Source organism: Homo sapiens, chromosome X (genome assembly GCF_000001405.40).
Source record: "Homo sapiens chromosome X, GRCh38.p14 Primary Assembly".
NCBI lineage: Eukaryota > Metazoa > Chordata > Mammalia > Primates > Hominidae > Homo > Homo sapiens.
The window spans coordinates 78,747,489-78,760,653 of NC_000023.11; the positions used below are offsets into that span (position 1 = coordinate 78,747,489).

The following is a 13,165-nucleotide window of genomic DNA, read 5'->3' on the forward strand; positions in this document are numbered from 1 at the left end:
TCAAGTGGCACTTAAGCCATTAATTCTTGACTGTGAAACTGCTTTTCCTGGGCAATGCTCTTTAAGGAAAAACTTATTCAGTCCAGTGACTGGTGACTAAGGGAACGATGGAGCACAGGGAATTGGGCGGGATCTAGACTCCTAATAATGCCTCCTTAGCCAATGAAAAGCATTTCCTATTGAGACCCCCAAGAGTTCCCCTGGCCGTCGGCTCCAGCTCGGACTTCAGGCCTTTTTGTGTCCTGTTTGCTAAAGGCATGCGGGCTACAGCATTCAAGAGAGGGAGTCGTTAACAAAGGGAAAGAGATAAATGTAAATAAGCTCACATTTACAGAATGAGCGGTTTGCAGTAAAAAGCTGCGGCAGCCCAGAGTCTGCTACTTTAGGCTGGGCTAACCTTTCCCTGTAAAAAAAAAAAAAAAAAAAAAAAAAAAAAAATGGATAAAAATATGCACTTCCAAAGGGCGAGTTGCCCATTTACATGTTTATTAGCTAATTATCTACAGGCATCAGCACATTCTCTCATCTAGCACACTCTTTCTTGGGGTAAGTTTCTCTTTTAAAAAGATTTGATTTTGGCGTTTGGGGGTGGGGGATAGCATAACAAACTACAGTGGAAACACTGATGCTTTGAGAGTGTAAGGAAAGAAGTTAGACTTCAACTCTGAAGTACTGAACAAGGATCTTCGTGATGAATGGTAAAAAACGAGAATTTCCATTGTTTTGGCAATAATATTGTTTCCGTGGAAGACATACAGGATTTTCAGGCTGCTGTTTCATGTAAACACAGTTGTTCTAAAGAGCTAATTTAAAATCACAGTGTAGAACAATTTAGAAAGTATGTCGACTAGCTTTGTATTTCTTTGGTTTACAGTTTATTGTGCGCTAACGTGGCTTGTATTATGATGAGGTTTCTTCTAGTAAAACTATACATGACATGTCTTTGATGCTTAATTGATTTATGGAGAATGTGACATTTGCTATATTGAATAATTCATGAACTTGCCCATAAAGGAAGAATCATGTTTGAATGAAAAACTCTGTCATAAACTGAATTTGCAATTATATGTGAAATTAATTGCTGTTTGCCATACAAATGCATCAATGTGTCATCTTTAAACTCTCTTCTTGTAAATTTTAAATATTTTCAGTAAAAAGGTCTTATTGAGTTGCTAAATACAGTATTTCAGTTACCTTTTAAAAGGAAATTCAGCAATGTAATTTATCATTATTTCAGTGTGGAAAAGACCAGACAAATTCAAAGGTTAGAATATTTCAGAGCTTGGTGGGGTTATTCACTTTGCTACCTTACAAAATTATACCATCTTTCTTTATCTTGACTAACATAAAGACAATAATAATAACCTGAGATCCAGATTACCCAATGGCTTTGCAACACGTTTATTTTTCAGAACAAAATTCCCAACATCATATCCCATCAACATAGATTATAAAACCTTTTGCCTTGTCACAGATGAAAAGTTGCACTCTTGCCAAGAAGGATGAGTTCACCTGATAAACTTGATGGCATCTACATTCTAAAGTCTCTCCTGCCAATCAGAGATGGGAATGAAAGCCTTATTGGAACAATCAGGCCAGTCTTTCAGAATGTGTGCTCTCTGCAAGTTAAAGGGAGAACCAGGAAGATGCCTCACAGAAACATTCAGGCCAAGCTTAGCTAAAGCTTGATCTATTCAATTGCCTTTTGGGAAAATGCAGTGAGAATTGTTGCCCTTGCTGTGGTTTGTTCAGCGCCTAATTGTGTAGCTACCTTTTGTCTGTGTATATGGTCATCACATATAGTCTGCCCTTGGCCTTCTTGTTGGGGGAAGAACAAAACCTGTAATGTGTTTGCGAATATTAGTACTGAAAATTGGGAGCCCAATAAAAGGTTACCTACCACTGGGAATCCACCTTTACTTTAAGCGGATAAATAATCAGTTATCAGAACAATGTAACGGGTAAATGATCTAATGATTCTACATGGTTATGTCCTGAAATATGCCGATAACCTCATATTCTGAGGGGTGAAGTGACCAGGAAACAGGTGGGAAGGGTTGAGGGTTGAGACCTAAACAATTAGAGGTGATATGCCTGCTGAAATGAGCACAAGGACAGAGGATGAGGAAAATAAGGGAATTTGGAAGACTTTAGGATATTAGTGGCATCTTTCTCTGTGATTCTTAGCTTCCGGTATTAATTAATACTATTTATTTCTAATATTCAAATAAATCTAGCAATCATTTCATTAAGTCTAATAAAAATTAATGACCCTCCTTGCTTGCAGACTTTGAGGAAATAAAAAATGTTTTACAGTGGCCAATGTAAGCAGGTGAAAATAAATGATGGAAAAGAACAGCCAGTAAGGCCACCAGCATGGCACTCATTGAAGGTTGCTTTTCTGTCAGTCAAGACTGAAGATTAAAGGAGAAGAGAAACTGAGACTCAGAAATGGACTGTGACTTGCTCTCACAGAGCTCGTGATGGGGCTGGATGTGTCTATATTTAATTAATATCAGTTATAAAAACTTCTGGGTATTTGAACTTCCTAATTTGCTTGGATTTTGAATAAAAGGTTTTTTGTATAATCGTTATCAACTGTGAAAGGCATAAAATAATGTTAATGCTTCTGTTTTCCTTTACGATAAACCAATAAAATGGAATAAAATATTCATTTCATTCCAGGAAGACAGATTTCTGGAGGAGTGTGAAAATCAACTCTCCTTAATATTAAGGTGATCTCAATGTATCTTAAATTATCTAATCATTGTACTTATTTTGTTTTTTTAGATTATAGAAAAATCATTTCAGGAGAGTTGTAATACTATTTAGAAGTTTGCTTTGTTTTAGGCTACCTCTGTTTAGAAAAGGATGAGATGTAACAATAGTGTACGTTTGGAGCTAGGGGATGATTCTACTTTACAGATGGAAGCACTGTAATGGGTAAATTCTAAATGCGGTTGCTACTCCTAAGAATTCCATCGCAGAGTATTTCTGGTTTTATACAAATATTTTGTGCAGAGTTTGAATTGGAGATGTTACAGACATGCTATATTGGGTAGGCCTAGGACATCCTGGTAAAGGTGCAGTGATTGTCAGTCAGTGTTTGAATTGAAGCCTTGATCATATCACTGTAGTTCAGTGGAGAGAGAAATTGTGTGGGGTGTAGGTAAAAAACAAGACAGTGGAGTCTCCACCTGTTGTTCCAGTCATCTTTCCTCTTCCCTCTTCCCTTATTAAGGACCCTGCCCAATGGTAACAGTTGTTGCCAAGAAAAGAAAAAAAGAAAAAAAAAAGACCCAATGTAAGTTCATGCCAAAACAAAATTCTCCTTTGTTTTGGTATTTTTAATGTAATGCATTACCTTATGGAAGTGGAGGAAATATTTTTATGTCTTTTGTCACTCATTATCTTTAAATTATTATAGGTTACCACATATGGATTTTATGCACTAGTGTTTAGTCAATACTACTAAAAAAATATAGCACAGCAGTGACAGGTTGGAAAATACATTGTTATCTGCAATTCTGTAATAATGAAATCCAATGCATGTAAATACCATTTTAAAATTTATTGGGTCTCATTTACTCTGGTTTATATCATATAATACTTTTTCTGTCTTATGATCTTCTATAAGATCATTTTATTGAAAATATACATTTTATTGAAAAGCTATCAGCTCTCTTTATGGCACACTATTATGACTATTTCTATTTCACAGCACCCATTGGAGGAAATCTCTAACTACAGTGCCTCCAGGAAACTCATTGGTTATTCCAGTCTTAGATAAAATTGGTGCCAGGATTTGGTTCGAACTAATGTGGTGAGTCCTACCCTCCTGAAAATTACTGAAATAATAATAATAACCTGAAAATGTGTAGAGAAACTGCAAATTCCTAATTTAATTCTCCAACTTTTGTTGTAACAAATAGTTCCAACTTTTTAAAGATTGTATCATCCGAAGATCTAGAATGGATGGAGGAATTGTAATTTGTTATAATCCAGGCAATTTTGATGAAGATGAATATTGATTCTTTAGCTCAACCCCTCTCTGCCACTGGGATTTACCTTTAGATATGGGAGACTCTTTTTATTGCTATTATCAGTTTCAGTGTCTAAGTATATCACATGAATTGGTGTCCAAATTGATAACTGATTTACCTGTTCAAATATATGGAATAATGTCAAAATCCTGGCTGGTATATATGACCCTTACAGAAATTGGAAATGAGTTATTTTGGGAACACCCAAAAATTGTCCCCAAAGATCTGGGGCTTCTGCTGAGATGAGATATTGAGTCTCAAGACTCAAGACAATTTTATAATATTAGGTTGAGCAATTTACCTGTAGTTTTCTTACTCTGTAACTAAGTACTAGGGAAAATTCTACTTTAGTAGGGCTGATGCAATCTTTGGCCCCATCATGTTGAGCACCAGACCACATTATTTCCCAAAGATTGGACTGTGTTATCAAGTGAAGTGTTAATAAGAGACTGAAGTATTTTTTTTCTTTTTTGATGAAAAGAAAAAAAAATATCAAGTTAATCACTGAGAACAGGATTTTATCAAATTGAGGCCCATATCAGTTTCCTGTTTTCCTCAAATAAAATGGAGAGACAAAGCAGCCTTAATAATCTTAGTGAAAACCAGATTAGGTGTAGATAAGCCACTTTTAAAAGGCTATTTCTTGCATCAAAAATAAAAGAGGTTGATTTAGATCAATTTCCTAGCTCCATTCTTGAGTGAAACATTTATCTATGGTTCCCTCCATATGGAATGCCATAAAGCTAGGTTTTGTTTCAAAAACTATTATGAAGCATCAACCAATGTATAGGAACACTGATATAAAACCTGTATGAGTGTGACCTATGCCTGTGACTTGACCTAGAGTCTTATCTGTTAGAAACCACTAATTTGAGAAGCAACAGTCTGAACATATTCCCTATCGCTCCAGCAGGATTGTTTTGAGCTGTATTTTTCACAACATTTGTGTATTTTTAAATCTGCTTCACTGCTAAGTATCTATACATAAGAACACAATAGATTTCATCTTCCTCTGAAAACTATTGTGTCAACTTTCATAAACTTTGACCAGAGTAGAACAAGGAAATGCTCTGGGGATCAGAAGCACTCTGACCTGGCCTGCGCTTATTAAAAATGGAGCAAAGCAAAAATAATTTTAGTATACTCTGCCTTCAAGGCCTTGTCTTCCTGAGCTCTGGACTGTCCTCTGTAGGGAGCAAAAGCAAGTCAGCTTTTCTAGGGTACCGGGCATATTTATGCCAGAAGTTGGAGCTTTGTTTTCAATGTATGATCTGAAAGTTTAGCACTTCATGAAGTGAAGTGATTTGGTTATTTATCCTTATAGGGCCAAAAGGCTAACTTTACTTCTTCCAGGAGCCTTAAGGACCCCAAATATGGTATACCTGTATTTTACTATCATTAGAAATTTTTTAAAAAAGAGGAAACAATTGTGGCCACTCTGAATTAGCTCCAGGTGTAGATTGAAGTTAAAAGTTGAGGGTCAGATTTATTTTTGGTCAACCTCCACGGGACCTGCTTCCTGTCCATTGTCAATAAAAATGCAGCTACCCAACACTCTCTGACACCCTTAGGTGATTAATTGTCAGAATAATTGGGAGCAGAGGTTTGCAGAAGACAGTAGTTTAATGCTCCTTGCAGTGGAAAATGTAATTAACTGCATCAGCATATATTTTTCCTTCTTCATTTCATCTGAAGCTCAAGTGTTGGTCCTTTGCCTCTATTTAGTGCACAATATGTTGGCTATTTAGGAAGATCTAATAGTTAGAAATGCTGTTTCTTTTAGTCAAAAGAAAGGAAGCCAGTAAGAAAAGAGGCTAATATTGATTCTTCTTCAGAATCATCTCAAGAGCCAAATGTCTTTCTGGTTTTTTAATCATACCTGTATGGGAAATATTACCTTGAGGGCACACTCCTGGATTGTCCTGTTTGAGTAAATTGTGTAGTTAAGGCTGAAACTCAAGGGGAGCTTTCTGAGGCACAAGGTATACATGACACTAGAAGGATGTGTTCCTAATGTGAACTTCAGTATACCAAAAAAGACAGAAATATAAAGTTACAGTTGTTTCAGGAAGGGAGGAAGAAACAAACTTACATAATGTTTCTCTGTAGTTAGGTAGGGCCGAATACTAGCAAGCTCATAAAGCAATTCACAAGCCCTATTGAATCTTCCTAGCTTTAGCTGTGAGGCTTAGAGGTAAAGTTTATACAAGGAAGAGAGAGAGTATAGCCAAGTTACAGAGTGAACCAGTGTCTGAGTCAGAAATAGAACTCCTTGCTTCTAATGCTGTGTTAAGTCCCAGCGCCACACCCTCACTTCTAGACGGCAAAGGTGGTTGTGTGTTCAAGCAATGGGAGCTATGAATAGGGCCACAGTGGCAGTTTTCCCATGCCCTCTCTTCAGGATTGAGAATGTAATGTTTTCTTGTCTGTCCTTTCTCTCCCACAAAGTTTGATTACTCAGAGCAGCAGAGCAGAAGTGCCAGGCATTTGCAGGCTGCTTGCTGTGGGTGTAATATATATGTTCCTGGAAACATAAAACTGAAGTGAGGGGATGGATGTGTTAATTAGCTTGACATAATCACCTCATGTAGTATACATATATTAAAACATCGCCTCGTACTTACATAAATGTAGTTCAATTATGATTTGTCAGTTAAACATAATGCAAATAAAAAATAAAATGATTGAAATCATAAAAAATCTGAATGGAAAACTGGGGAGATCTATTTGAAATGTATCAACTTGAGACTCACAAAATAATATATAGCCAGTGAGCTAGAATCATGCTGTGTAAAAGGATCACTAGTGGGCAGACTGGAGGGACTCTGGGCAGAAGGGAAAAGCCTTCCATTATAAAAGCATTTTCCAAATAAAATAATTATACTGGCAGTACTTATTGTAGAAGATAAGTTCAAGCCGATCATAGTGAATAAAGCCTGACTTTAATGTTAGAGGTTTTGCAGTCCCATAAATGCTGTTTTAACTATCATTTTATATTTTTGGACTCTTGAGTGACCTACACCTTAGTTACATTTGCAATGCTATAGTATTGCACTTATTGTATTGAGTGTGAGCTTTCCTGCTCCTGCAACATACTCTTGTAGTACCTTTAAATATATAATAGATGTTCAAAAAATACTTGTCAAACCAAATGGAATGTGCATGTTTTCTTCCAATCTGGGTGGACAGAATATCTTATTACACAGAAATCATGGATGGAAGGCAAATTTGATTATTTGTTCCATCTTGTCTCTCATAGGAGGAAAATATTTCCTACCGGTCCATAGTGTCAGAGTGGTGAACCCCTGCAGCCAGCAGGCCTCCTGAAAAAAAAGTCCATGGGTGACAGAAGATTCATTGACTTCCAATTCCAAGATTCAAATTCAAGCCTCAGACCCAGGTTGGGCAATGCTACTGCCAATAATACTTGCATTGTTGATGATTCCTTCAAGTATAATCTCAATGGTGCTGTCTACAGTGTTGTATTCATCTTGGGTCTGATAACCAACAGTGTCTCTCTGTTTGTCTTCTGTTTCCGCATGAAAATGAGAAGTGAGACTGCTATTTTTATCACCAATCTAGCTGTCTCTGATTTGCTTTTTGTCTGTACACTACCTTTTAAAATATTTTACAACTTCAACCGCCACTGGCCTTTTGGTGACACCCTCTGCAAGATCTCTGGAACTGCATTCCTTACCAACATCTATGGGAGCATGCTCTTTCTCACCTGTATTAGTGTGGATCGTTTCCTGGCCATTGTCTATCCTTTTCGATCTCGTACTATTAGGACTAGGAGGAATTCTGCCATTGTGTGTGCTGGTGTCTGGATCCTAGTCCTCAGTGGCGGTATTTCAGCCTCTTTGTTTTCCACCACTAATGTCAACAATGCAACCACCACCTGCTTTGAAGGCTTCTCCAAACGTGTCTGGAAGACTTATTTATCCAAGATCACAATATTTATTGAAGTTGTTGGGTTTATCATTCCTCTAATATTGAATGTCTCTTGCTCTTCTGTGGTGCTGAGAACTCTTCGCAAGCCTGCTACTCTGTCTCAAATTGGGACCAATAAGAAAAAAGTACTGAAAATGATCACAGTACATATGGCAGTCTTTGTGGTATGCTTTGTACCCTACAACTCTGTCCTCTTCTTGTATGCCCTGGTGCGCTCCCAAGCTATTACTAATTGCTTTTTGGAAAGATTTGCAAAGATCATGTACCCAATCACCTTGTGCCTTGCAACTCTGAACTGTTGTTTTGACCCTTTCATCTATTACTTCACCCTTGAATCCTTTCAGAAGTCCTTCTACATCAATGCCCACATCAGAATGGAGTCCCTGTTTAAGACTGAAACACCTTTGACCACAAAGCCTTCCCTTCCAGCTATTCAAGAGGAAGTGAGTGATCAAACAACAAATAATGGTGGTGAATTAATGCTAGAATCCACCTTTTAGGTATGAGAAATGTGTTCAGGTCCAGATATGGTTTCTCCTATAATTTTTCCTATGCTATAAACTAAAGATTTGAAGCTAATGATACTGAGAATAATGCACCAAATCCAGTCAGATACATTTGTTTGAAGGTATACTGTAGAGTTTTTATTGCTGTTTTGTTCAGTAATTATAGGTCAAATCTAATTACAACAACCAAGATGGATTGCCAAACTCTTCTGCTTGGTTGGAATTTCATTGTATCGCATTATCCAGGTGGCTAGTGGCATTTGATAATATAGAGATGACTTTGAAACTTTCAAAAAGGTATTTCTATTCCAATGATATTTGGTAATTAGGTTGGGCCTATAAATATAGAACAAATTCAGGGATTTTTAAAAAATTGTGTTACTACTGATATATGCTAGTTTTATTTTATTTTTTTGAACTGTCATTGAGTTTATTTTAGCACAAGAATATTTTTAGCCTAACATTATTAATAAGAAATGTGTCAAATTTTTAACATTGGTAAAATATGTTATGTGCATTTTGAAAACAGAAAACAAATTGCGTTGGCATGTACGTGGGTGGGAAGAAAAAGAAAATTAACAGGATTTACACAATTATAATCACCAGCAGTGTGAGTTTAAAAAACTTCGTTGTTTTTACACCAAATTAAAATTTTCATGTCAAACTTCAAAGCCAGAAAGCTGCTAAATACGTGTCTGGCAGGTAAAAGCTGGAAAATTACTTAAAACAGGAAAGTGTCAATAAAAAAACTTGAGCAACACCAACATATTTTTTCTTAAAATGTCACGTTATCTTCATTTTGGGAAACTAGGTTCTATAAAATATTTATCCTCCCTGTTATACTTTGGAGCACAGCACAGCCAGAAAGGGGCTGCATTTGTGCCCAGGTCAGGAGCAAATTGAAAAAAAAAATAAAGTAATACAAAAAAATCAAACTATAAAGCAAAAACATTTATTAAAACCTGAATTAATCCTTTTTGGAGGGAGGAGTAGAGATATATAACCTGAAAATACTTATTCTTTCTTATCGAATTTTGGAGCCTAATATAGCCAGGAGCTGCTGAATTTGTGCCCCTGGATTGGAAGCAAATAAAAAAAAAAAACAACACATAAACTAAACCAAACCAAAACAAAAAAACCAGAGAACCCCAAGAAAAATAAAAATAAAAAAACCTCAACAATAATTTGTAACACTTTCATTACTATTTGTTGAGGTTCTGTAAATGTAAAAATACTATGTCATTTGCATAACATTTTGAAGCACAACGCAGCTACCAAGTGGCTAAATTCGTCTCCTGGTTAGGAACAAGTTGTGGGAAAAAAAGGTCAAAAATCAAACTGCGATAAAACAAACAAAACAAGCACAAACAAAATTTAGAACTTGCATTTTCTGAGCATCTGCGAAACTTACAAAACACTATAACATTCATATAATGCTTTGGATCAAATTGCAACTAAGAAGCTGCTAAAATGGCACCCAGTTTAAAAGGAATTAAAAACAGTATTTTAAAATCTACAAAAAAAGAGAAAATTTTTTTATAATTTACTTAAACCGCAAAAATCTTTAAAACTCTTACTAGTTTTTAAACTAAAGTGGATATTTAAGAATATTAGAACTTGTAAATATAACTTCTGAGCTTGAAAGATGCTACATTTGTGCTCAAGTCAGGAGCAGTGGAAATAAACCCTCGTATACACACATACACAGCAGCAGCAACAACAAAAACCAAAATTAAATGTTAAACCCTGAAAAACAACAAAAATATTTTAAAATGTGCATTAATCAATTTTTAAAATATTTGGATAACATGGCAATTTAAAAATGCTAAGAATTTTAAAACAAAACTTCCAGGAAAAATGTATCCTGCAAGTTGCTGAACTTGTGCCAGAAAGTGGTTAAACAATTATAAAGCACAGAACAATAACAAAAAAGTAAAACTTCTAAAACAATAAGCAAATTTTTAAAACTCATTAACTTGTTTTTCTTTCTGATGATATGCAGACTTAAAAATACTGAGACTTTTAAGTAAAAATCTGTTAGCATAATGTAACTTTAAAAACTGTAAAATCTGTGTCTGGGTTAGGAACAAAGTGAAAAAATGCTAAAACAATAGTAAAAACAAATTCTTAAAACTGGCATTACTTTTTCCCAATGAAAGTCCTAAAAGTAATTATGCATTATGTAGTCTTATGAAAAGAGGCTATAGATGGAATATATAAGGCATTAGATTCAGTTAAATAAAATTAGGTTAAGATAAGTTCAGTTGTTAGATTATATGGTAAGATCAAATCAGTAATAAAAGCGTGAATAATCTTTTGTTTCTTTCAGTATTCATGTTTTTCCATTTCTTGTTAAGTATAAAATATATGTGAACATTTGTTTGTGCCCTTGCTTCTTAACATTATAAAATTTTATGATTATGACACCAAACCATTTAATGGGATATTAACTAAGTTGAAATAAAATATATTATTAAATGTTTCTTGTGTAATTTCCATGTTTAGTTTTAATTTTTTTATATTTCACTTCTCAAATTTCCATTTTTATAGTTAATATAAATTGCTAATAATAAAACTTGTCACATTAACAATGTAACCAAGAAAATGTAAAGTATAACTAAATATAAAAGTGACTATGTTACATCGAAAGGAAAAGCAATTTTGCAGCTGTAATTGCAACTTGGATTTTAAATGTTTATTAAATGTAATAAAATATATTTGAATTATTTAGCAGTCATACTTTGATCAATTATTCAACTTTCTTTATTTGTGGCCACCCAAAGGCATCTCTCCTTTATCTTCCCTCCATCTTTTCACAAAGGAATTATTAGACTATATTTGCTCTCAAATTAATTTCAATAACTCATTTCTGAGGCTATCTGAAGACTAATGCAGAAATGGCAAATGGCAAATTCCTGGGTAACTTTTCAGGGATCAAGATGAAAGACTAATGACCTCTTTTCCTGATTTTTCGAACTTGGGTTTGATTTATTTGGGGTTGCTAGCCAAGCTGACTTCAGATTTTAATTTCTAGGATTTGACAAAATATTCTAGGACAACAACTGGGAAGCCTGGGAAAAGATAGGGCAAACAGATCGTCTTGACAACAATAAGATGAATGCAGAGCTAAGTGGCTGGCAGATTAATACCTAGAACAGGTGATGGTCCCGAGGTAGCAAAACGGAATTTCTGGTCATCATGCTCATGCCTCTAACTCTCGGGGAAGGCAATGTCATCATCTCAAGCACCATATGCTGTGTTAGTTCCCCATGAGATGACAGCAAACTCTGCATTTTTTGATCATGACTAGCATGATCAGCCCTAGGCTACATTTAAAACTAGAGGAAGTTTGCCATTAATGATGCCCTAGGTCACGTCCCCAGAAACATAGGGACAGAAACTGTAGGTTTCACATTCCTATCTGCCCTCTTCTACCTTTTGTCTTCACCCCCAATCCCCGTACCTTATATTTAATATGGTTTCCCAAACTTCATACTTTCTCCCTGTTTTACATGTGGTCTTTGTGTTCTCCAACATGTCTTCCCACCCTCTCCAGAAATATCGTTTCTTCCTGAACAAAAAGACAACACATAAAGCTCTATCAAGACAGTGACAGGCTGAACAGATTTACATTAAGGTGTGAATGATTGATCCCCCATTTTTCTCTCCTTGACTGTTTTTAACCTTTTGGTGTTCGCATCTTAGAAAAGGAGTCCAGTTAATTCAAATGACTGAAGGAGGGTCAGGATGGGAAGAGATGATTGTCCTGGTAAATGGTAAATCATCTGTTAAGCCTCAGCCTCTCTTGCCTTGCAGTGGAGCTTCTGCACTGCAGGCTTTCTTGTCCTGCTCCCTTGAGCTCACTTTGTGTTCTGTTGATTCCAAACCATATACCACCTGTTTCTAGACAGCCCTCTTTTCCGAAACCACCTGAAGTGACTGGGAGCCTGTATTCTCATTTCATATAGGCATGGATTATTTCCCTCAAATGTCTCCTGATTCTGGTGGATTTGGTGAAATTAGGTAAAATAAGAAGCAGATTGTTTATATTTTATGAACAAGGAAGCAAAAGAGCGCAGGCTACTGAGTCAAAATCTCCACCGTATGCAGATTTTTAAGAACCACGTACTGCCCATATCTTTCGGCCACTTTTTGATGAGGTTGTTTGTTTTTTTCTTGTAAATTTGTTTGAGTTCATTGTAGATTCTGGATATTAGCCCTTTGTCAGATGAGTAGGTTGTGAAAATTTTCTCCCATTTTGTAGGTTGCCTTTTCACTCTGATGGTAGTTTCTTTTGCTGTGCAGAAGCTCTTTAGTTTAATTAGATCCCATTTGTCAATTTTGACTTTTGTTGCCATTGCTTTTGGTGTTTTAGACATGAAGTCCTTGCCCATGCCTATGTCCTGAATGGTATTGCCTAGGTTTTCTTCTAGGGTTTTTATGGTTTTAGGTCTAACATGTAAGTCTTTAATCCATCTTGAATTAATTTTTGTGTAAGGTGTAAGGAAGGGATCCAGTTTCAGCTTTCTACATACGGCTAGCCAGTTTTCCCGGCACCATTTATTAAATAGGGAATCCTTTCCCCATTGCTTGTTTTTCTCAGGTTTGTCAAAGATCAGATGGTTGTAGATATGCCGCATTATTTCTGAGGGCCCTGTTCTGTTC

The 13,165-nt window shown here is 35.8% G+C and overlaps 1 protein-coding gene across 10 annotated transcripts; it reads left to right on the top strand.

Moving 5' to 3' along the window:
• Positions 232-11,226, top strand: LPAR4 (lysophosphatidic acid receptor 4). Of its 10 annotated transcripts, none has more exons than XM_047442015.1 (5): positions 232-546; positions 1,413-2,735; positions 3,242-3,304; positions 3,722-3,823; positions 7,303-11,226. In XM_047442015.1, the coding sequence occupies exon 5, from the start codon at positions 7,382-7,384 to the stop codon at positions 8,492-8,494; it is 1,113 nt and encodes a 370-aa protein (XP_047297971.1). In that variant the 5' UTR covers positions 232-546; positions 1,413-2,735; positions 3,242-3,304; positions 3,722-3,823; positions 7,303-7,381; the 3' UTR covers positions 8,495-11,226. The 10 variants fall into 10 exon arrangements, with proteins under 10 accessions (XP_047297971.1, XP_016884926.1, XP_047297968.1 ...); XM_017029437.2 differs by having other exon boundaries at positions 1,475-2,735; XM_047442012.1 differs by having other exon boundaries at positions 2,288-2,735.